We start from the raw sequence: 24,165 nt of genomic DNA, 5'->3' as shown, positions 1-24,165 counted from the left end.
AGACATCGTTTAACATAAATTTATTTTCAACCCTAGAATTAAAATAATAATCGCATTAGAGACATTTTAGAAAGTTAATAAAAAAAGAAAATCACTGATGGTGCCACTATCTTAACACAACTATCATTATTTTTAAGTAAATCTTTCTAGTTGTTATTTTACATATTTTTACACTTGTAATCAAAGCATTCATGCCATTTTATGTCACTTTCATTTTACATATCGTATTAAATGGATTTTTCTATGTAATAGGTACCATCCATCTTTGGTATTAACCAATTTTATAATTCTATAACCTCCATCGCATGCCAAGCTGTGGAGCACAGTGGCCAGCTAGCTATACACTGATAGTGGGGAATGTGTACCAGGTGCCTCTGCAGAAGCCATTGCTTATGGGTTTGCCTTTGGTACATTTTTAAAAGACACTCACTTGGCTTTAACTTTTCGAGATTCTCTTCGCTTCTCCTGTTGAAGCTGCTCGATTTTCTGTTGCATTTCTTCTTGTTTGGAAGTGATGGCTTGGATCATCGACATGGCATTGCTCAGCTCTTCCTAAAAAATAAGAATTGCTATGTTTTAACGTGGTACATGGGGTAAAAGTATATAACATAATCTAGCACACTGTACACTTTTAATACATATTTATTGAATGAATGAATGAATGAATGAGAGATTAAAAAATTTACTTCCATCGTGGCCTCAAATTTTAACACAGAGCTCCAAAAAAGAAAACATGAAAGATATTTTTCCATGATAACTATGGATGGCCCAGAGGAAAAATTCTTATATTTGGCTGCTATGGAAAAACGCAGTTTTCTTTCTTTTTTTTTTTTAAGACAGAGTCTTGCTCTGTCGCCCAGGCTGGAGTGCAGTGGCGTGATCTCAGCACACTACAACCTCCACTTCCTGGCTCAAGCGATTCTCCTGCCTCAGTCTCCCGAGTAGCTGGGACTACAGGCGCCTGCCACCACACCCGGCTAATTTTTATATTTTTAGTAGAGACGGGGTTTCACCATATTGGCCAGGGTGGTCTTGAACTCCTGACCTTGTGATCTACCTGCCTCGGCCTCCCAAAGTGCTGGGATTACAGGCGTGAGCCACCACGCCCAGCCAGAAAAAGGCAAGTTTTCTATTGCTGTTACTGAGACCAAAATTCTCTTGTCAGCAGGGAAATTAAAGAGAGGCCTACCTTGAAATAGTTTAATGAATTCTTCATCTCAGTAACTTTTTCTTCCATGGAACATCTGCAGCTCTTAACCTTTTCTTCCAAAGCATATTCTCCATGTTGAATTCTTGACAGTTCTTGCATTGCTTCTGTGAAACCAGTTTTGAGTTCGGAGGCTAGGGCCTGCAACTAAATAATGCATGAAAAGTTAATTCAATTTGCTGGAAATTACTGTAAGTGGCACCATTGGACCTTGAATTTTTCTTTTGTTTGAGAAACAAGCCTCCTGAAAATCTACAGACCTCATTTACTAGTGTACTTCACTTTGGACAACTTAAGACAACCCTGGCCCCATTTATCTAAGAAAAAGAGTGTCTTCTTTATATATAGCATATGCTGAAGCTTGATAAATGACAAGAAAGCAAGCTGTTAATTAAGTTTACAAGTGCTTCTGCAAGCTTCGATTTATTCTAACACCTTTGATTAAAATGAGATTTGCTTGAAAAGAAACATGTATGTGAATCTTGATCCAATAACTCTTTGAATTCTGTGAAAGAAGAAAATGGGTCATATTCTCTCTGGTTATTATGAGAGGCAAGGAAACTCAGTTCTTGTTTTCTTAAGAAATTAAAGAATAAATAGAGTAACAACTAAGCATAACTGAGAATTTATCTGAAAGGAAAGAAGGTTTTTTTTAAAAAAAATACTCTTGGATGATATCATGGGAAAGGAGGTAACAGTATTTTCAATGACGGTGGGCTTTAACTCATAAGGAAGGCAAAGAAATATCTGGTAGGGTATGGTAGGAGCTCAGAATATTGTTGATGGTGATATGAATCATCTCCAGCAGTCAGTCCTGGTCATGCAGGTCAACTTTGACATCATGAAAGAGGTGTTTTGGATCAGGTAGGGTACAAATCCTAGTTCTACCCTAAAGTACTAGGACCTTAGGCATGTTGGTTAACTTTTTTGTAGCAGTTTCCTCATCCATAAAATAGCTATAATAATATCTATTTCACAGGGCTGCCTTGAGAATTAACTGAGTAAATGTAGGTAAGCTGCCTACCATAGCGCATACTTGGTACACAGATGTTCAAGAAACGTTCATTCTTCTCCCCCTTTAGGTGGTAAATCAAAAAGTTAAGCACAAACAGAAATGTGGAGAAAATGGAGCACTTCTAAAGTTCGTTGTATTTATTGAACAAATGAAAAAAGCATTTTCAACAGACAGTAAGTTAATAGTAACAACAGGATAATAACATTACTTTCTTGACATTTATGATCTTACACTCTATCAAGTGGAGGAACTCTTAGCTCCACATGTCTCTTTAAAACAGAACCATTTAGAAGATTTATCCTATAATCAAGTTTTTGTTGTTGTTGTTGTTTTGTCTTGTTTTGAGACAGGGTCTTGCTCTGTCGCCCAGGCTGGAGTGCAGTGGCATGATCTTGGCTCACTGCAACCTCTACCTTCTGGGTTCAAGTGATTCTCCTGCCTCAGCCTCCCAAGTAGCTGGGATTACAGGCATGCGCCACCACATCCAGCTAATTTTTGTATTTTTAGTAGAGACGGAGTTTCACCATATTGGTCAGGCTGGTCTTGATCTCCTGAACTCAGGTGATCCACCCTTCTTGGCCTCCCAAAGTGCTGGGATTACAGGCGTGAGCCACTGTGCCCGGCCTCAAGTATTTTTACTTTAAAGGAATGAAAACTAAAGTCCAGATACCTTAACAAAGTTTCTTTGAATGTGTATTTCTGAACATTTTCAGAATAAGGTCATGCACATGATTCCCACCTGCAATGGCACCTCCCACTCACTATACAGTGACTTTGTCTCCTATATCACATTTTTAAAATATAGGATTTTGTGGTTCATTGTGCTTTACGAAGGATTGCTGGGAATAGAGAGCAATAAGAGGAATCAGAGAGATCATTTTGAGGAAAAAAGCAGGGCCTGTCAAGTATTTGGGGCTAGAAGGCTGGGAAACATCATAAGCAATCTATTTTTCATTTCAATCAGTTTTAATTATAATTAATCTTTGCAATGGATTTTGGCTCATGTCCTAATTCAGTCATCCTGGTGGATTAAATCACCAGATCAACCACTTTCTGATCTGGTAATTTTTCATTATGTAAATGTATCTTCTGTGAGCAAAATAAACAAAATTGATGGCTATATAACATTAAATCAAAAATGTATGCGAGTTTTAAAATTGGAAGAAGGAAAGCTGACATTCTTCTTAGTGACATTCACTTAGGTTTCCTGCTTGGAAAAAAAAATAAAAAGGGAACCACTATCCAACAGAAATAGGTTTCATTATCCTTGCTCCCTTAGGCAGAGTTTTCTGCAGAGACCAAAAGGCAGCAGCAGACTCCTAGGAAAAGGACCTTCCTCCCTGCAGAACCCCAGCTCTCAAAAAATTATTAAAATTTTCCCCTAACAGCCAGGTGACATAGGAACTCTGGGAATTCTGAGGCTATTTTTGAGTCATGTGCCCATTTCCTACCAACATATTACTCTGAGCTCCATGGGTGCCTGCCACTGAAGCGTTGCTACTGCTTTGTAAACAGCTTCACAGCCCTGACCAGCCCGGGAGGGGAAGCCATCAGGAGAACACACACCTGATACAACATGTCACTTTTAAGATGCTGAGGGATCTTAGTATCTTTAGCCCCTACAGAGCGGTTTTCAACTACCGACCCTGACCACTCCCTTGTAAACTATGAATACTGTGAAGACACGATCTTAACATCTTTTTTCTGCTCTCTCTTCAGCTTTCTTTTTTGAGAGCCCACAGCCCACCCCAAGGATTAGAAATGGGTGTCTACCTTGTTCTCCAGCGAGTTGAACACGTTCCTCATCTCGTTGATTTTTTCATGAAGCTGCTCTAGAGAGGTTATGATCCCTCCATCCTGCCGCTGGAGGCGGGCTCCCACTGGAGGTAGGTTCAGGGAAGACTTGTACTTCGAAGCCTACGGTACCACAGAGGGCATCTTAGGCTCAAAGAAATAGGGGAGAGGAGTCCGAATTCTTCCTATTTCCTGCTCTCAATTTCTGATTCTCAATTTTCTTTCTTTTCTTGGCTTCTTAACTCTTCTTAAGATGAATTTTAGTCAGTGTCTTCCAATTTTTTTTTTCATGAAAGATCCCTCAGGCCTCATACTTAATTTTCACAAATTTCAACTTGTGTTTTATGGACATTTCTTCCTTTTTGCCACATTACCCAGGCCAGGAGGCTACCAAGAAGTAAATTAGGGGGACTGGACCTGTACCTTGGGAACCTTGCAAAGTCATAAATGTCAAGGTTTGGGAAACCTCCCAATTCCTATGATTCTATAAAAGCAAAAGCCAGGTGTTTTGCAGTGGCACATACATGATGGCAAGGAGGCGAAGGTAATTGCTTTGGTTTCCCCCTAAACCAGGGTCACTGAAGAAGCAACACGAGTTTTCTGCCAACTTCCATCTTCCAATTATTTAAAATACAAAGTGAGCAGCAAGTAATCTGAATGTAGAGAGTAAACTTCCCATATCTACTCCTCTATATTCCCTGCAGAAGCTGACCCTTCAAATCATTCTTGCAGGGCCTTACTGAGACTGACATGCAGCCTGGTGTGCTTATCGATCCCTGGATACACCACAGGCCTAGAAGAGTTAACTTCTCTAGTATCAGAAGAACATTCCTCAATGGCAAAAAGAGACTTAGTCTCAATCAGGATTTACAAATCCTAGAAAACTTTCAATGGCAGTTTTGACGATGAAACCTATTACTGTAGGACTGGTTCCCATAGTGTTTCAATTAGACACTTTTGGCACATCATTTATTTTCTTAAATTATTTTCATTACAGAGAAAAATGAAGAAAAAAGAGAATCGCCAAATAGAATCATTCCAAATTTCATTATTTCAGTATAACCATTAACACTCACATTTCCTTCTATTTTGTTCTATGCATATAAATGCAGATGTTTATATGCTTGAAATCACACTGCAGATACATTTTGATTCTACCTCTCTTTTTTCCCTCCTAATATTCTAATAAGGCATTTACAGTAGCCTTCAAAATTTTTCTAAATGTCTACTTTTGATGGCTACATGATATCCCATCCTATGAATTTGCCAGAGTTTACCTACCCATTCTCTTTTGTTGGAAATTTATGTTGCTTGTAATTTTTCAATGTTGTAACTAATGCTGTCATACTATGTTTTTGTTTTAAAATTTTGTATATATTTCAGATTATTTCCTTAGAATAAATTCCTTAATATGAAATGCCTGTGGGTCAAAGATGACCCAAAGGGGAAGCTACTATGTCACAGAGGCAATATATTCAACTAATTAGTAACTATACAAATTATATTTGACCAGAGGATTTGAAAAGTTATAGCAATATGGCTGTATATTCTTGCAAACATTACATATGATATGTAATGTCCTAAATTCATGGATTTAGAAAAACATAACTTGAATAATAAAATACATAAAACAATAGAAATACAAGAAGCCACACTGTTTACATTCCTAAGGCTACAAGTGAGCTTAAAACACAGTTGGAGTTGAAATCATTAGTATGAGTGTTGGGCTAGCACTAAATTGTGCAGTTACCACATCTGTTGCCTTAATTATGGGATCCCCTCTCATGTTAATGGGATCATAATTTTAATAATCTATATGCAAAATGAAGTAATCTAGGGTGAAACAAGACCACCTGACTCGGGAAAAGAGCTCTGATTCAACGACTTTGAGAGGGGTATGTGCAGTGGACAAAGGATAAGAGAAAAAGGAAATAGGGAATAGACTTTTCTAAAAGTTTCTAACAATTACACACATTCACCAGAACTAAATATTATTAATTATTATTTGCTAATTAGTCAAAGTATAATACTCCTTATTTTAATCATTGCTTCTTTGAGCTTCAACTTTTTCTTAGCTATCTATAATTTTACTTTGGTAAATTGTCTGTGTTCTTTGCTAATTTTCTACTAGGGTTTTAGAAGTTTCCATTTTTATTGACCTTCATGAACTACTTATTTATAATTAAACCTTTGAAATATTTGTTGTGTCTTTCTGATTTTGTTATTTGCCTCTGAATTTGTTTAAAATATTTTCATGATGGAAATAGTTTAAATTGTAATGTGGATGAACTCTCAAATCTCTTTCTTTGTGATTTCTTCCAGTGCTTTTTAACTTAGAAAGACATTTCACATTTGGAGACAAAATAAATATTCACTTATTTTAAAATTTTATGGTTTGAATTTTTTTATATGTAAACCTTTAATCCACTTTGGCATTTGTTTTGATTAGGGTATGAAGTGAGGATCTCTTCTCTTTTTCCAAAGAACCAGACAAAATCTTTCCAACACTGTTTGGCACAAGACTGAATGACTGCATGAGACCTCTTGGCTCAAAGCAATATAGACATCTTGTAATATAGTCATCCATTCATTCATTCAACTCATATTTATTGAATATGTATTATATGCCAGGCATTGTACTTTACACTGAGAATACAACAGAGAGGAAAATGGACTAAATTCCTGCCCTTAGAGCTTACATTCTAGATGAGGAGACAGAAAATTAAAAAACAAACAAGGTGATACATACGATAATGTCAGATGGGATAAGATCTATCCAGAAAATAAAATGAGATAGAGAATTACCAAAATATTATATTTTGCTTCTGGTGCCCTCCCTTCTAGTATAGATTTTATTCTATTATGGTTAACTCCTCCCCAGCTTCCCTCCTTTCTCTTTCTCTTCTTCTTTCTTCACTTCTCCTCTTTCTTCTTCTTCTTTTGGTTAAATGTTGCTTGGAGTAAACAGACTGGGGCTTAGGAAGTGTTCTTTTAAAACAAGGATGGGGTTATAATAGCATCACAGAGGTCATATAGACCAACTTCACTTCCATTGCTTTGTGTGTTCCACTGCGAACAGATGTACTAGGATTTGTAGTGCAATAAGATAATGAGGCCACCCCCACTGCAGCTATATTTAGCCAACATTCAGGGAGTGACCTACATAAAATCTATAATAGACTTTAAATCATACCTGACTTTAAAGAGGTACTCATACTCATTCAAATGTTATACACAGGTCAGATGAGAACAGAGGGGAAGTGGGCAGGGAAAGCGTCTGGAGGACTTGGACCAGTGAAGCATCAAAGCAGCACTGAGTGAAGACCAGTTTTTTGCTTCTAGGCCTTTGTTCAAGCTAGTCCCCCTGCCCACAACAACCTTACCTATACCTACTTGTCAAATGATCAACTTGTCCTTAAGTACCTAGCTCAAATCCTCCAGTCAATACTAATTCATCCCTTCCCCACAGAATTGTATCAATGCCTCTATCGCAATCCTTTCAACAGCCTACCTTGTAAGAGCTATTATTCTATGTGTTTTTCAGGCTGTGGACACATAAAAATCAATGAGAATGTCTGTTTCATCTGTTTAATCTGCCATGAGGCCAAGCAGTAGACTTTACACATAGTAACTGCTCAATAAATGTGTATTCAGTTGAAATGAGGCCCTTTCCCCCTTTCATCCTATAGCTGGCCTGAGTCTAGGGACAATATGGTTAAATAATGTTTTCGTAATCCTGTGTTGACTTGCCCTAGTTTGGTTTATAGCAATGGTCTCTTACATGATAATTCTGGGAAGTAGTTGTCATTTTCACTTTACTGTCACTTAAACTCGACAAATCTAAATAACGTTTCCCCTAAACTATCTACCCTTCTGGACTCCTGTATTTCTGCTTGTGAGAGCACTCTTTTTCCTAGTTACCAGGGCTTAAAACCTTAGATCAACTTTGAAAGCATCCTTTCTCCCAACCCCCACCAAGCTCTGTCAATGTTTTCTTCCTTTTCACGTATTTCAGACAGCACTGCCTGAAGTCTGGAGAGAAGCATGGATTTCCCTAGCCCAAGCTGCTTTTATATTACAAATTATGTCAGAATAAAGTTCCATGATTTTTAAGAACAGAGATGTGCTTTAAATTTACAGTTGGGAGACAGAAGCCAAGTAAATACCACTTAGAGGACCAAAACAATCTCATACGACTCTTACTGCAAAGATGTTTTGCAGAACTTTTATCTTCCTTGTAAAGCAAATTGTTTCCATTGTTTAAAAAGAGCTTGAAAGTTTTTCCTGTACAGATATTTGAACATTTGCAATGTTACCCCCCTTTTCATTCTCAATTCTCCCTGCTAAAATAGAAAAGTAAGAAAAACAGATTTTGCCCTCTCCTCTCTGATGGAAATGTTATCTTGCAGTGTAATGGCCATGGCGATGGGGGCAGCAGGCAAGAGAAGCAGAGTTGAGGTGGGCGTGGTAGTGCTGCACTTTATAAATGAGATAACTTGTCTTTCAATAATGAGTTCTCAGCCAGGCACAGTGGTGCTCACCTATAGCCTCAGCTACTCAGGAAGCTGAGCTTGAGCCCAGGAGTTAAAGACCAGAGTGGGCAACACAGCAAGACCCTGTCTCAAAAAAAAATCAGTTCTCTCCAAAGTACACTGTGAGTGGCGGGACCCACTGAGGTGCCTGTCTCACAGCCCTGTTAAGAGAACAAGTGCAACGATATATGTGGAAGCACTTGTGAGTGCTAAAAACGTGTACACATAAAGAATAGTCAGTCATTGCTATTATACATGGGAGCATTTGAAACAATCGATTTGTCTTTACCTGGTAAATCTGCGTGGAAGGATTATTCACCGGCATATGTTCATTCTCTCCTGCAGGGAGAAAGAGCTTTGTTTAATCAACACTACTCATTCTGTCCCTATCCCCTCCAGATACATGCAGGGAATAAGGGAACTTACAGGATCCTACATTTGTGCCCGCACGACAAGAAACCAATGATTCCAGGGGAACAAAAAATGAGCTGAAGTAGGTGGTGTCCATATTCACACATCCTAATCACTAAACCATTATCTACCTGATATACTCTTGCAATAGAAAACCACGTTCTACTACAGTAGGGAAGTTTCTCAACCAAACTGAATGATGTGTGATTATTAAATAGCCACAAAGGAATTTGCAGGAAGTGTCTCCCTTATGTTCTTGAGGCTAACTGGAATTGACCTGCAGGGACAGTTCTACAGTCAGGAAGGCGGCTCTTCACCAGGCACTTAGTGACCTCAGCGAGCTTGCATAAAATATCCTCTACTTCTCCCACCTCTGATCTTTGACAGACTTCTGAACTCTGCCCTGCTGTCACTGCCAAATTCAGCTAAGGGAATCTTGCTGTCCTCCTGGGCAACAGGGCTGATAAAAGGAATTGTCAACGGAAAGGTTCTGGGAAGGATGCAGGCAGAAGAAAACAGTAATGTATAATACTAGACTTCGAGAAACACAGGGCACACGCAGAGGAAGTGGTAGGTTGTAGAAAACCATTCACAGGCCAGGTGTGGTGGCTCACACCTCTAATCCCAGCACTTTGGGAGGCCAAGGCGGGAGGATCACCTGAGGTTAGGAGTTCAAGACCAGCTTGGCCAACATGGTGAAACCCTGTCTCTACTAAAAACACAAAAATTAGCTGGCTGTGGTGGCAGGCACCTGTAATCCCAGCTAGTCAGGAGGCTGAGGCAGGAGAATCGCTTGAACCCGGGAGGCAGAGGTTGCAGTGAGTTGAGATCGTGCCATTGCGTTCCAGCCTGGGCGACAAGAGCGAAACTCTGTCTCAAAAAAAAAAAAAAAAAAAAAAAAAAGGAAAGAAAGAAAAGAAAAGAAACCATTCACAACCTAGAGAGAAAAAGAGGTTGGCCTGGAATGTACTTTTCAGCACCACATTGGTTGGCCATAAAGATGAGGCAATCCATGTAAAACATTCAGCTCGTTGCTTATCCATTTAGCTTCATCTCCAGTGTGTCACACTGTATGCATCAAACAGTTTATAGAGGAAGCCCCTGGTTGCAAACATTTGGTTGTGTGGATGTGTATATTGTTCTCCTAAGGCATGCTGGTACAGGAAACCCCTCCAACCTCAGTATTTAAGTCGATAAATAATACATAACCTTAGCCCAGAATTTATACACACAGAAGACTGTCCCTATAAAATCCATATGATGTGAGGTTACCCAAACTTCCTGCATAAGCTTGAGTAGATTATTTAGACAATTTCATACTATGTCCCAACAGCCTGGTATAATAACAAGAATCAGGGCTTGGGAGGAAAGATCCAGATCCCAGACCTAACTTTGATACTTTGCAGTTGTCACCTGACTTCCCTATGACTGTTTCCTCTTCCGTAAATTGGAGATGATAAGAGAATCTACTTCTATATAGTTGTTTTTATATGGTAAAGATTAAAAGAGAAAGCATTTATGCTTCTAGGCTAGTCTAGAAGGTGATAGATGTCTAGTAGTTGAATCTGTGTCTTGGCCTTACCCAGCATGTTGTTCTGAGGGAGTCCTAAAGCTATTGCTAAGAAAAATAAAGTAACAACACAGACCAAATTCTAATAGCATTTCCTATTTTTTCAGCACCCAGTCTATATTCTTCATAGTCATTATATGATGATAGGGAAATGAAAATAGTTAACATACTGTCATGTCTCGAGACAGTGGTAAGACAAGACAAAAACCTACATTCCTTGAATCCTAAGTCCTAAAGCAAGACATAGGAAAAATCTGACCTTGCTTTGTTTTGGTTTTTTCCATAGTGCCGGTTACTTCTCTTCTCCAGCTTATTCTTCAACATTGCATCCTCATCGTCCTGGCTCAGGCCACCTCCTCTTCCCTGCACCTGTCAATTCAAATCAAGAGTAAGGGATAACAAGTAAAACTGTCAAAGAAACTGTATTTACTTCTTACATTAGTAAAAAAATTGAAATGAACACAGCTTGAGGTACATGCAATTTCAGAAGAGGAAAAATATTAAATTAAGTACACATTTAGCATAAAGGTAAATATTTTGTGAATACATATGAAATTCATTATTCAAATTTAGGGTAGTTTTTCAAAATGCTACATTCTTATTTGGATCAAATCCATTAATTAAGATCTATTGGTTTGATTAGCAAGTTATATTTTAAAGAAATTTTATTTTATTTATTTATTTTTCAAACAGGGTCTTGTTCTGTCACCCGGGATAGAGTGCAGTGATGCAGTCATGGCTCACTGCCGCTTTGACCTCCTGGGCTCAAGTGGTCCTCCCACCTCAGCCTCCCAAATAGCTGGGACCACAGGCTTATGCCATCATACCTGGATTTGTTTTTTTTTTTTTTTTTTGTAGAGATGGGGTCTCCCTATGTTGCCCAGGTTGTTCTCAAACTTCTAGGCTCAAGTGATCCTCCAACCTCGGCCTCCCAAAGTGCTGAATTACAGGTGTGAGCCACCACACCCAGCCCCAGGAAAATTATCTTAAGGAGAAAAAACTTAAGCAGATATGAAGGCCAATACATCTGTTTCTATTCCATTAAATAGTATGTTCCTTGATAGCCTTGTCCCCACTTTCGGCATCTGGTAGACTCCTTTGCACCCAGGAAATGCTTAGCAAATGTGCTGTGTCTGACACGACCATTAGACATGAAGCTGCAAGGTCAGAATGCAGCCTAACACACAGTCAGTGTTGTGGATACTGGCCCTCTTTTTAGCCATCCAGCATTTTAACCCCTTCTTAAGTTTGAAGAATTCCCCTGCCTTATGAGACTTGATCAGATGCCTCCCACTGTAGAGGCTGAAAACGCCAGGTTCTTTTAGCCTCCCTTGCAGCTAAGGCATGATAGATACATGACCTGGGACATATCACTCAGATGCACCTACCCCAATTAACACTGGCAGTTGCAAAAAGAATTCCTAAGGCAGATACTTGATATTCTTTCTACCTTCTAAGACAGCAGTGGCAGCGAGGGTAGTGGTGGTGACCATTATCTGTTAGAAATATATTAGGAAATTCAAGGTTCTGCTTTCAGTGCTTTCCTCACTAGGACAGTTGTACTATGTGATTTAGGCATTGCTGCTAGCCGTAGAATCCCAAACTCGATTCTCCAGCCTCCCAGCAATTCCATGAGCTGTCCATCTCCTTTCAACAAATTCCTCTCCTGCTTAAATCAGCCAGAGATTGTTTGCTGTTGCTTACAACTAAGAAACCTGATTGAAACAATACAAATATATGAACACTATCCAAGATTAAGAAAACGCAAGTTTAAACTTTGTTCATCACTTAGAATAGACAAATCTAATCTATAGTGACAAAATGCAGATCAACAGTTACCTAGAGCAGGAGGTGGAGGGATAACTGGGAAGAGGCACAGGAAACTTTTTTTTTTTTTTTTTTTGAGACAAGGTCTCGCTCTGTTGCCCAGGCTGCAGTGCAGTGGCCTTATGATGGCTCACTGGAGCCTTGAACTCCTGGGCTCAAGTGATCCTCCCATCTCAGCCTCCTGAGTAGCTAGGACTACAGGTGGATGCCACTATGCCTGGCTAATTTTTTTATTTTTGTAGAGACAGGAGTCTCACTATGTTACTGAGGCTGGTCACAAACTCCTGGGCTCAAGCGACTCCCCTCCTCGGTCTCTCAAAGTGCTCAGATTACAGTCATGAGCCACTATGCCTGGCCGCACAGGAAACTTTTTTGGATAGAAATGTTCTACTGCTTAATTGTGTTAGTGGTATATTGGTGCACAAATTTGCCAAAACTCATTGAATGTATATTTTAATTGGGTTATCTTACATAAATTATACCTGAAGAAAGTTGATTTAAGACTTCATTATGGGCTCGATGCGGTGGCTCATGCCTGTAATCCCAGCACTTTGGGAGGCTGAGGTGGGCGGATCACTTGAGGTCAGGAGTTCGAGATCAGCCTGGCCAACATGGTGAAACCCCGTCTTTACTAAAAATACAAAAATTAGCCAGGCATGGTGGCAGGTGCCTGTAATCCCAGCTACTCGGGAGGCTGAGGCAGGAAAATCACTTTAACCTGAGACGCAGAGGTTGCAGTGAGCTGAGATCACACCACTACACTCCAGCCTAGGTGACGTAGTGAGACTCCGTCTCAAAAAAAGAAGACCGGTTGCAGTGGCTCACACCTGTAATCCTAGCACTTTGGAAGGCCAAGGTGGGTGGATCACCTGAGGTCAGGAGTTCCAGACCAGCCTGGCCAACATGGAGAAACCCTGTCTCTACTAAAAATACAAAATTAATCGGGCGTGGTGGCGCATGCCTGTAATCCCAGCTACTCAGGAGGCTGAGGCAAGAGAATCACTTGAACCTGGGAGGCAGAGGTTGCAGTGAGCTGAGCTCGTGCCATTGTACTCCTGCCTGGGCAACAAGAATGAAACTCTGTCTCAAAAAAAAAAAAAAAAGACTTTATTATAAAATATGGAGTGTGTCCAAACCAAAAGAAAAAGACCTTTATTCACATACTGAGGTTTATAAAGCAAAATAATAAGTTGGCAGGGTGGGAGGGTACACACAGGTAAAAAGCCATTGGGAAATAGCTACATGGTTATAAATGAGGAATATAAAGAAAAGCCCAAAGTCAAGGCCATATGCTGTTTAAACTCTTTCACATTTTTCATGTAAGCATGAAAGTTATGTCAAGCTAGGGCATCTTTCCTAACTATCTTGAATCTTTTTTCATTGCTGATACAAATATTACTAAGACGAAAACTTTCTTCTCCTTAGCAATTGTTAATTTACTTGATATCTAATCCATTCTAGGATGAATATAATTAAATCACAGAATGTTACAGCCAAAGAGACTCTGAGAAAATTATTCTATCCAAGTTCTTCATTTGTAAAAGAAGCACATGAGACCTAAGGAGGGGAAGAGAAGTGGCCTGCCCAAAGCCATCCGGCTTTAAAAACGGTCTTTAGAAGTGATTTCTGTTACTATTTGGGGGAAGAAAATCTTTAAATATGCAAAGCCATATATTTATGGGATTTTTGTGGGTGATTTTTCCTGGAAATTTAGTCGTTAGTCTACAACTAATTGAAAACAACAACAAAATCCATATATCATAGGTAAAATGAAAACTTACACATTTTCTGAGCTAGAATATCCCCATGCTCATATGGTCACATATGTACATATGACAACTTATTTCAAGACATAATACTTTCTTTTATTTTATTTTTTGTAGAGACAGAGTCTTGCTCTTCCCAGGCTGGAGTGCAATGGCATGATCATAGCTCAATGTAACCTCGAACTCTTAGGCTTAAGGGACCCACCTGCCTCAGCCTCCCAAGCAGCTCAGACTATAGGCATGTGCCAGCACTCATGGCTAACTTTTCACTTTTTGTAGAGACAGGGTCTCCCCATATTGCCCAGACTGTTCTTGACCTCTTGGCCTCAAGCAATTCTTCCACTTTGTCCTCTCAAAATGTTGGGATTACAGGCATGAGCCACCATGAGACATAATAAACACGTGTGATGGATAGTAAGTTAGAAATTTTATTTAGTAAATTACAAAAGCAACAAAACTACATTAGAGGCCAGGCATGGTGGCTCATGCTTGTAATCCCAGCACTTTGGGAGGCCGAGGCAGGTGGATAGCTTGAGGCCAGGAGTTCAAGACCAGCCTGGCCAACATGGTGAAACCCCACTCTACTAAAAATTTAAAAATTAGCCAGGTTTGGTGGCACACGCCTTGTAATCCCAGCTACTCAGGAGAATTGCTTGAACCCGGGAGGCAGAGATTGCAGTGAGCCGAGATCACGCCGCTGCACTCCAGCCTGGGGGACAGGGCGAAATTCTGTCTCAAAAAAAAAAAAAAAAAAAAGTCAATAAAAAAACTACGTTAGAGAAAATTTGGAAACTCTACAGGGGACAAAGCAACTATAACGCCTCTACTTAAACAACTATCATGATCACTTGTTTGTATTGCCTGTTAATATTTTTTCTCTGGAATGTTTTACATAATTATTAATGAAGCCTACCTAAAATTTTGTAACTACCTTTCCCACCTATATTATAGCATAAACATTTTACTTTCTTTTAAAAATTGGACCATGGCTGGGTGCAGTGGCTCATGCCTGTAATCCCAGCACTTTGGGTGGCCAAGGATGGAGGATTGCTTGAGGCCAGGAGTTCAAGATCACCCCAGGCAACATAGTTAAGATCCCATCTCTGTAATGGAAAAAATAAAATAAACATAGGATCATTATTGTTGTACAGATAAAATACATGAAGAAAAACTTTTTAAAAATTAAAAAAAAAATGGACCATTATTATTTATACTGTTTTTATTGTGGCTGTTTGAGCAGAGGTAAAAGTGTTCCTCCCCAATCCCAACTGATGTTAATAATCTCTGGTATTTTTTCCATCCTCATATAATTGCACACAATCATATACAGAATATACATATATGGAGTGGGGTTGTTATTGTAGGTTTATATATTGTACTTCTCTGCATCTCACTCTCACATAATACATTGTGGCAATCTCTCCAAGTTAATTGGTATAGATCTAAGAAATTACTTTTTTTTTTTTTTTTTTTTGAGATGGAGTCTCACTGTTGCCCAGGCTGGAGTACAGTGGTGAGATCCAGGCTCACTGCAACCTCCGCCTCCCGGTTTCAAACTATTCTCCTGCCTTAGCCTCCCAAGTAGCTGGGATTATAGGTGTGTGCCACCACGCCTGGATAATTGTTGTATTTTTAGTAGGGATGGGTTTCACCATGTTGGCCAGGCTGGTCTTGAACTCCTGACTTCAGGTGATCCGCTTGGCTCAGCCTCCCAAAGTACTGGGATTACAGGCGTGAGCCACCACATTTGGCCCTAAGAAATTACTTGTAATGACTGCATAATATTCCATGGTACAAATGAACTGTGTTAATCATTTCTCCACTGATGAACATTCCCTTTATTTTCATTATTTTGCCATGGCAAACAATGCCACAACAAACATCTTGGTACATAGAGCCTTACATGTTGGTGTTTTTATTTATGTGGAGTTTCCATAGATGTGGCTAGGCTGCTTTCCAAAAAGGCTATAACTATTCTTATTTCCCCCAGGAATATTCATTGCCTGAATACCTTTCTCCTGCATTCCAGCCAATAGTGGATGTTAACATTTTTAGTTCTTGTTGGTCAGATGGGTGACAAGTGATAGTTTATAGCTACTTTTGCTGATTGCTGGTGCTATTGAGCATCTCTATATCGTATACTTACTATAAGTTTAGATTTGCTCGTCTGTCAATTATCTAATCCTCTGATTTGCCTAATTTTCTTTTGGGTTATCTGCCTTTTTTTTTTAACCAAGGAGTGACAGCTTCTAAATAATACGTATTAACTGTTTATTTGTTATATGCAATATTTTTCCCATTTATCTTTTTGTCTTTTGACTATGTGGTCACTTTTGCTATTGAAATATTCTTTTTATTTTTTTTTTTTCTGAGACAGAGTCTTACTCTGTCCCCCAGTGCAGTGGCATGATCTCGGTTCACTGCAACCTCCACCTCCTGGGTTTAAGTGATTCTCGTGCCTCGGCCTCCTGAATAGCTGGGATTACAGGCGTGCGCCACCACGCCCAGCTAATTTTTTGTATTTTTAATATAGATGGGTTTTTGCCATGTTGGCCAGGTTGGTCTCAAACTCCAGGTCTCAAATGACCCACCCACTTTGGCCTCCCAAAGTGGTGAGATTACAGGCGTGAGCCACCTTGCCCAGCTGGTAGATTGTTTTTGTTTTTTATTCTATTTTATTTTGTCATTAAGCTTATGTTAGCCATAACGAATTGGAAGTTTTTCATCTTTTTCTATAACCTATAAAAACTTCAATTACATTGGAATTATCAGTTCTTTAAAAGATAATAGAGCAGAGCTATGAAACCATTTGATCTTTTAAAAAAGTAGTCAGATCTTCAAGGCCTTTTCAATTTCTTCAAAAGAAATTTATCTACGCAGCTTTTCAACTTAATTAGTCACTTGTATTTTCCTAGGAAACTACGTATTTCCTTAAGTTCATCAAATTTGTTGACAAAGCCTGTAGTCTCAGCTACTTGGGAGGCTGTGGCGGAAGGATCATTTGAGCCCAGTAGTTCAAGGCTGCAGTGAGACAGGATTGCACTACTGCACTCCAGCCTGAGTGACAGAGCAAGATCCTGTCTCAAAAAAAAAAAAAAAACAATTTGTTGACAGAGCATAAGCATTTTCCCATATGCTATATAAGGAATGGTGGAGACAGAATGAACTTTTCTTGAACAGCTGCTATATGCCAAACATGATGCTTCATATTTTATTTATATTTTCTCATTTAATTAAGTTCTCATATTGATTCTGTTGAGGGTGTATCATTATCCCCATTTTCTAGATGAGAATACTGAGGCTTGGGAAAATGAGGTAATAATATGCCCAGGATCATGGCATACAGAGCCAGAATTGTAATTCGGGCAGGTCCATATGATTTCAGAACTGGTTCTTTCATTTATTACTCCTGGCTTTCTCCAAATAGTTTCAACAATAATTATATTTATTGACTAAGAAATAGTTGCTTGAGAAAACATGTCATCATTTTCTTTCCCTCCCCCAATTATTAGGGTAATTTTCATTTTTTACTATAATAAATGGATATAAAAAGGAACAGAGTCCTTTTTCTTCATATTTAGGACATTTTTTCTTAAGCTAAGTTTCCAGAACAGAATTTCTAGGTTGACGAGAATGACTGTAATAATGAATATGTATTAAAGGGTACAGTTTAAAAGGGAGCTTAATAACAGGATTACACAGAAAGGTAATATGACTTATTTTGGAAAAAGCCTTGCTATGATTATGAAAGTCCCTTTGAGATCTCACTTGTAGTCTGCTCTTCATTTTGTACTGGGAATCTCTCACTCTGAGCCTAGTAATTCTTCACTGTGCCCTTGATAGCCCTTGAATCACTGCCTGCCTTTGAATAAATAACCATCAGATGCTGCCACATGCCTCTCACCAAGTTAATGTGGCTCCTATTCCTCCCTGACCTTCCTCCTTTCTTTCTGTCTCTACAGTTGCAGTGCTAACCTCTAAAAACACCCATTCAGGCCTTGGCGGACACTGGGGAAAATAATGTTAAGTGAGCCTGTTGGTGTCTATATCATGCCTGATCATGTTACAAAGCCATGGTTTTCAGTTTATATTTTTTGAAGCCCAGGCTTTCTTGAGTCTGTCTTGAGTGGAGAGAGGAAGCCACCAAGCTGGTAGGGTTCTGGGTCCCCCTTTTTACCCCCTTCAACCAGAGCCTCTCTGTTCTTGTCTGATTCACGTACTACAGCTTTGGGGGAAGCACTTCCTTTTTTTATTTTTTTATTTTTTGAGACAGGGTCTCACTCTGTTACCCAGGCCAAAGTACAGTGGCATGATCATGGCTCACTGCCTCAACCTCCTGGGCTCAAGCAATCCTCCTGCCTCAGCCTCTCAAAGTGCTGGAATTACAGGCGTGAGCCACAGTGCCTGGCGGGGAAGGATTTCCTTTGAAGATCAGCTTCTGCTGTTTAAAAACAAAGGTTCTAAAATTATTGATATAGAGAAATAAGAATGTTGAAACAATAAGAAGTTATAGCCATATTTGTGTAAAATTAATTCAGAAAAATTTTTTTAAATAATAAGTTAACAGAAACCTAAAGAATACTGAAAAGTCTCCTGACCCTCCCCTAGACTGACCTAGAACGTGTACCCTCCTCCCCATATACACACATAAGACTACAAAAACTGAGGATTGTCTATTACTTTCCAATTACTGCTGTGACAGAAAAGGAAAGTTTGGCACTTTGGGGAATTGAAATTAATTGAAAGCAGACTTGAGTTAATTTCCATTTCAGTGTCCTTTATTGAATGGGTCTTTAGTGCACATTTCTAATTTAGTAGAATGGGAACTTTTTATGCTGGGGGGAGGGTGATGAGGAAATACTTTCCCCTGAAACTAAAATAATTCATCAGGACAAATCCTGTAGACATTTTCAAGAAGAGAGTCTATATGATCTTTGTGGTGTAGAAAAAATGCTATAAACATTATGAAAAGGGCTATTTGCTTTTTTTTTCTATAGAGCCTAAAAGCAACATTATTTTGTGACAGTAACACCCTGTTTGTTCATGCTTCGTAGTTTTCAAAGCACTCTCATGTATGTTATCTCACTTGATCACTACGGCAATGCTGTGCAGTGGGCCAAACACACGTTCCATTCATTTTATACCCAAGGAAGCCATAGCTCATACAAATTATTTGCCCAAAGTTACACTGGAAGTCGCTTCAAGTAAGACCAGTAGTCTTTCTATGTTTCTCTAAATTTAAATAAACTGCTTCATGCCACAGTATTTCAAAGTACTGTAATTTAAGGTACCACTTTAAGGTACCATTGTCACTAAAAAAAGGTATCAATTCCTGTGTGGGCTCTGATAGCCATCTGCGTAAACTGGTTGAATGGACTGATACAAGGAAGAAAGTTTTGGCAGGTCTGATGAGAGAAAGAGATTGAGAGAAAGAGAAATAATACAAAGTAGGACTAAAAAGAGGGATGTAACCACCAATTCAGAGAATATGAAATATTATTTGTAAAATTCAGTATGCAATATTTGTTGCCAATAATTTCTTTCTCTCTTGCTTTTTTCTTTTTTTGTAGAGATGGAGTCTTGCTGTGTCACCCAGGTTGGAGTGCAGTGGCAGGATCTCTGCTCACTGCAACCTCTGCCTCCCGGGTTCAAGCAATTCTGCCTCAGCCTCCCGAGTAGCTGGGACTACAGGCACAAGCCGCCACACCCAGCTAATTTCTTTTGTATTTTAGTAGAGACGGGGTTTCACCGTGTTGCCCAGGCTGGTCTTGAACTCCTGAGCTCAGGCAATCCACCTGCCTTGGCCTCCCAAAGTGCTAGGATTACAGGCATGAGCCACCACACTTGGCTGCCAATAATTTCTAAAAGCTAAATGAAACAGATAATTTTCTAGGAAAACATACATTATTGAAATTTGTTTTAAAAACAGTATAAATTTTTTTATCCAGAACAACTATCTGCAGAAAATATTAAAAGAGAAGGTCAAATATCTACTCCCCAATAGGAAATGATTCAGCATAATATCACAGGAAGGTTCTATAAATAACAGTGTCTGTGTTATTTAGTCTATGCTATAGATAGAATACATGTAAATAGCTAAATTTATTCTATGAGGTTCTGAGACCAACTCTAGGATAGCCTACATAAATAAATAAAAAAATAACTATACGTATTCTAAATAAAATGTCAGAAAACAAAAATATAACACTATGATCAGCAAAAAAATAAAAATTAATGGTTATAAAACTATTAATAGAATTAATTAATCAATGTAACGCAAGAAAACAAAGAGTACAGTGTGACCCTTAGAAGCAAAATGGTAAGGAGATAAGACAATTCTCACAATATGAAGATACACAAGTGCTTAAAACTAGGATACCTCAATGAAAATGCAGCTTTCTATGCCCACAACCAAAAAAAAAAAAAAAAAAATCATCCTTGAATACATAGCAATTTAAAGTGGCAAAGGTAATAAATTAAAGAATTAAAATTAAAATAGGGGTCTGGCACAGTGACTCATGCCTGTAATCCCAGCACTTTTGGAGTCCAAGGAAGGCAGTTAGCTTTAGCCCAGAAGTTTGAGACCAGCCTGGGCAACATGGCAAAACCCTGTCTCTACAAAAAATACAAAAAAAAAAAAAAAAAAGAAATTAGCCAGTCGTGGTGGTGCACTACTGTAATTCCAGCCACTTGGAAGACTGAGGTGGGAGAATCACCTGAGCCCAGGAAGTCAAAGCTGCAGTGAGCGATGATAGAGCCACTGCACTCCAGCCTGGGCGGCAGAGTGAGACCTGGTCTAAAAAAAAAATTTTTTTTAATGAAATAAATAAAAGAATTAAAATAGGACTCTGCCACCAGACATCTCAAACAATAAGTGGCCTTATTTTGAAAATGGTCCTTGGTGCTCAAGTCAGCCCCTTACGTGACCCTTTGTCAAATATGGGTGCTGCTAGAAACAAGGTGGCTCCTGCCACTGAACCAGGTCACAAGGCCATCACCCCTCCTTAGTTAACTGCCTTCATGGCTGTCCACTCCCCAGACTGTGAGCAACTAAGGGGTATACACGGAGTTTCATTCCTCTTTCTGTCTCCAGCTCCTGGCACCATTCTCAACATACTCTCAACAAATATTTATGGAAGTGACCTGAATTCTCATGCAGCAGACTACCAGTGAAACACGCTTTTTACTACAACTTGCTTCACATCAACAATAAAGACTTAGTGGTAAATATAGAGAGTTTGGCCTGAAGATTATTTTTATTAGGAAAAAAGGCCTATTTTATTTTAACAAGCAAAGTTCCACTGGCAGAAATATATCCCCTTGTTCCCACTCCCTGGCTTGAAAAACCAAGAAAGAGCAGGCTCTCCTAGTAAATGGTCCCACACCAAAACTAACTGTAGTGATGTTCATCACGGCCAGCAACACCAAAGTGCCCAGAGCCAGTGAGAACAGGAGCAAAGCACAGAGAATAGGTAATTCCATAGCTCAGGAGCACAGAAGGCTCAGAAGTGAAATAACAAAGATCCTTCCATCCTCACTCCACTGGCATGTTAATTTTTGTTGTTGTTCACCTAAGATCAGTCAGGATAGAGTAAATTGGTAGAGTTAATATGTGTCTACATCAGTCAAGAAAAAAAGAACATCAGCATGCTGTCACACACACAAAACCAACCACTGGCCAGAGATATTTTAAGTTTAAAAATGCCTCATTGAAGACATAAAAACTTATCAAAAGTTTCAGATCAGGGCTGAAAGTCACTTCCAGGGGCTCTTCTGACTCATTTTAATACTTGACCTACTTAACTGTGTCAGAACCAGATTTCGTGAGCCTGAATGTCTCATGGCCTCTGTGTCTGGTCAGGGAAGATATTCTTCATCTCTTTTCTTATCCTGACTTGACTCTCTTTAATCTCAATCTTTCAAACAGATTCTCTCCCTGGATTCATCTGAGTGGAAGTTAAAAGCCTCCTGGAGGCCAGGCACGGTGGCTCAAGCCTATAACTTTCAGCACTTTGAGAGGCTGAGGCAAAAGAGTCATTTGAGCCCAGGAGTTCAAGACCAATCTGGGCAACATAGTGAGACCCTATCTTTACAAAAAGTTTTTTTTTTTCAATTAGCCAGGCATGTTGGCATGCACCTGTAGTCCCAGCAAGTTGAGAGGCTGAGGTGGGAGGATCACTTGAGCCCAGGAGGTCAAGGCTGCAGTGAGTCATGATAGTGCCACTGCACTCCAGCCTGGATGACAGAGTGAGACATTGTCTAAAAAAAAAAAAAAAAATCCTCCCAGAGACACTGTGCAAGAGGCAGAGAGCCCCAGTACAATGTAAATATCTACTTAAAAAGACAATAAAGTGACTGTCACTATACTTTCACTAAGTAAGTCCCAATTGATAGGAAGGAAAGACAAAGAAGGACAAGAGTGCTCTCCTGGGAAACGCTGGAGGGAAAGAACCCTGAGCTCCAGAGACAACTCCCTCCAGTCCTAGAGATGGCCCTGATTTGCAGAGGGGTACATTAACATGGAAAAACTTTAGTCCTCAGGAAATGTTCCTTCTGCTAAATCACAGGCAGTGGCAGGACTCCCAAGATCTGAACCAGGTGGCTGAGTTAGTAGTACATTGTAAAACGGATCATCAGTCACCAAAGCTTAATTTAGGTGAGAGGGGAAACCAGGTTACTGCTGCCCCTCCTGGGAGAATTTTTTTCATAGTTCAGATGAAATGACATCCAATTTGGAGCTGCCTTTGGTGCTCTCAGAACAGCTAGAAAGGAGAAAAAGAGTACAATCCATCTTCAGAATGACTATAATTTCCCACTACTGCCCAGTGAACAAAGACTCCCAGTGAGCAAAGCCTTCAAAAGTTGGAAATCATAGTCAAACCTTGAAAATGGATGAGTTCAGTTAGAAAAATGGTCCACAGCCCGTGCATACTTGACAGGGGTCAGCGATGGTCCCTGGGTACTAAAACCACAGCACTTTCCCCTACAGAACTAGTCCACTCACAGGCCTTAGGCATTCCTACCTGGGGATCTCGGTCCTACAACCCTCTGCTCTCTGTCAACCAAGTTTTGCTCAACCCTCAAAGGGCAACTCATGTCTTATACCCTTCATGAAGCCTGCTTTGGCCATTCTCCTCAATTGTCATCTGTCAACTCTCCTCACCTAAACCAAGGATCATCTTTTTTTGAGACAGGGGGTCTCATTCTGTCACCCAGGCAGTGGTGCAATCATGGCTCACTGCAGCCTTGACCTCCCAGGCTCAAGCAATCTTCCCACCTCAGCTGCCTGAGTAGCTGCCACCAGACCCAGACCTTTTTTTTTTTTTTTTTTTTGTAGATACAGGGTTTCACCATGTTGCCCAGGCTGGTCTCAAGCTCCTGTGCTCGAGCGATCCTCCTGCCCTGGCCTCCCAAAATCCTGGGATTATTACAGGCATGAGCCACTGCACCCAGCCGAGTCTCATCTTATAACCGATTATTATCACAAAGTCCAGCAGCAGAAGCCTAGATATGGGAAAGAGTCAACATTTTTGTTGATCAATGAAAAGTGTAAATTCATCATTAGTTTGATTATTTCTTTTATAATTCCAGCTTACCTCATACATGCCCTCCCTAGAGCTAAGGCATACTGAACCCCACAAATTAGTACATTTTTACCACATCTGAAAAGTTTGGAACAATGAGAAAAGGGCTAGAGACATTCCATAAGGAGACCAGAACATGCTGGGGCTGGTTTTGCTAAGAAGCTATTTTTTGATTCCTCAATCTATTGTTGCATTATTTCAATTTCCTTGTTTGGAACAAGTTGGGACAGGAATAAGTTAATAAAAAAAGAAGAGAAGTGTTCCATCCCCCTACCTCCAAACTGAATTACATACTTCTCCTTTGTCCCAGATAGTTAGATAGCAATCCTGTTCTTCAGAATTTTTTTCTTTTTTTTTTTTTTTTTTGAGACAGAGTCTTGCTCTGTCACCCAGGCTGGAGTGCGGTGGCACAATCTTGGCTCAATCTTGGCACAATCTTGGCTCCACCTCCTAGGTATT

General features: G+C 39.6%; 1 protein-coding gene across 2 annotated transcripts in view; it reads right to left on the bottom strand.

Moving 5' to 3' along the window:
• ARHGEF33 (Rho guanine nucleotide exchange factor 33) overlaps positions 1–24,165 on the bottom strand; it is an 85,580-nt gene that overhangs the window by 45,194 nt on the left and 16,221 nt on the right. For both annotated transcript variants that reach the window (NM_001367623.3, NM_001145451.5), the window contains exons 3-6: positions 10,789–10,898; positions 8,838–8,887; positions 1,190–1,354; positions 431–552 (exon numbers count right to left, since the gene is read on the bottom strand). In NM_001367623.3, the coding sequence (NP_001354552.1) occupies positions 431–552; positions 1,190–1,354; positions 8,838–8,887; positions 10,789–10,813 (362 nt within the window). In that variant the 5' untranslated portion in view covers positions 10,814–10,898. The remainder of the gene's footprint in view (positions 1–430; positions 553–1,189; positions 1,355–8,837; positions 8,888–10,788; positions 10,899–24,165) is intronic.

The sequence above is a fragment of the Homo sapiens genome, chromosome 2, assembly GCF_000001405.40.
Source record: "Homo sapiens chromosome 2, GRCh38.p14 Primary Assembly".
Classification (NCBI taxonomy): domain Eukaryota; kingdom Metazoa; phylum Chordata; class Mammalia; order Primates; family Hominidae; genus Homo; species Homo sapiens.
This window is presented reverse-complemented; position numbering and strand designations above follow the sequence as displayed.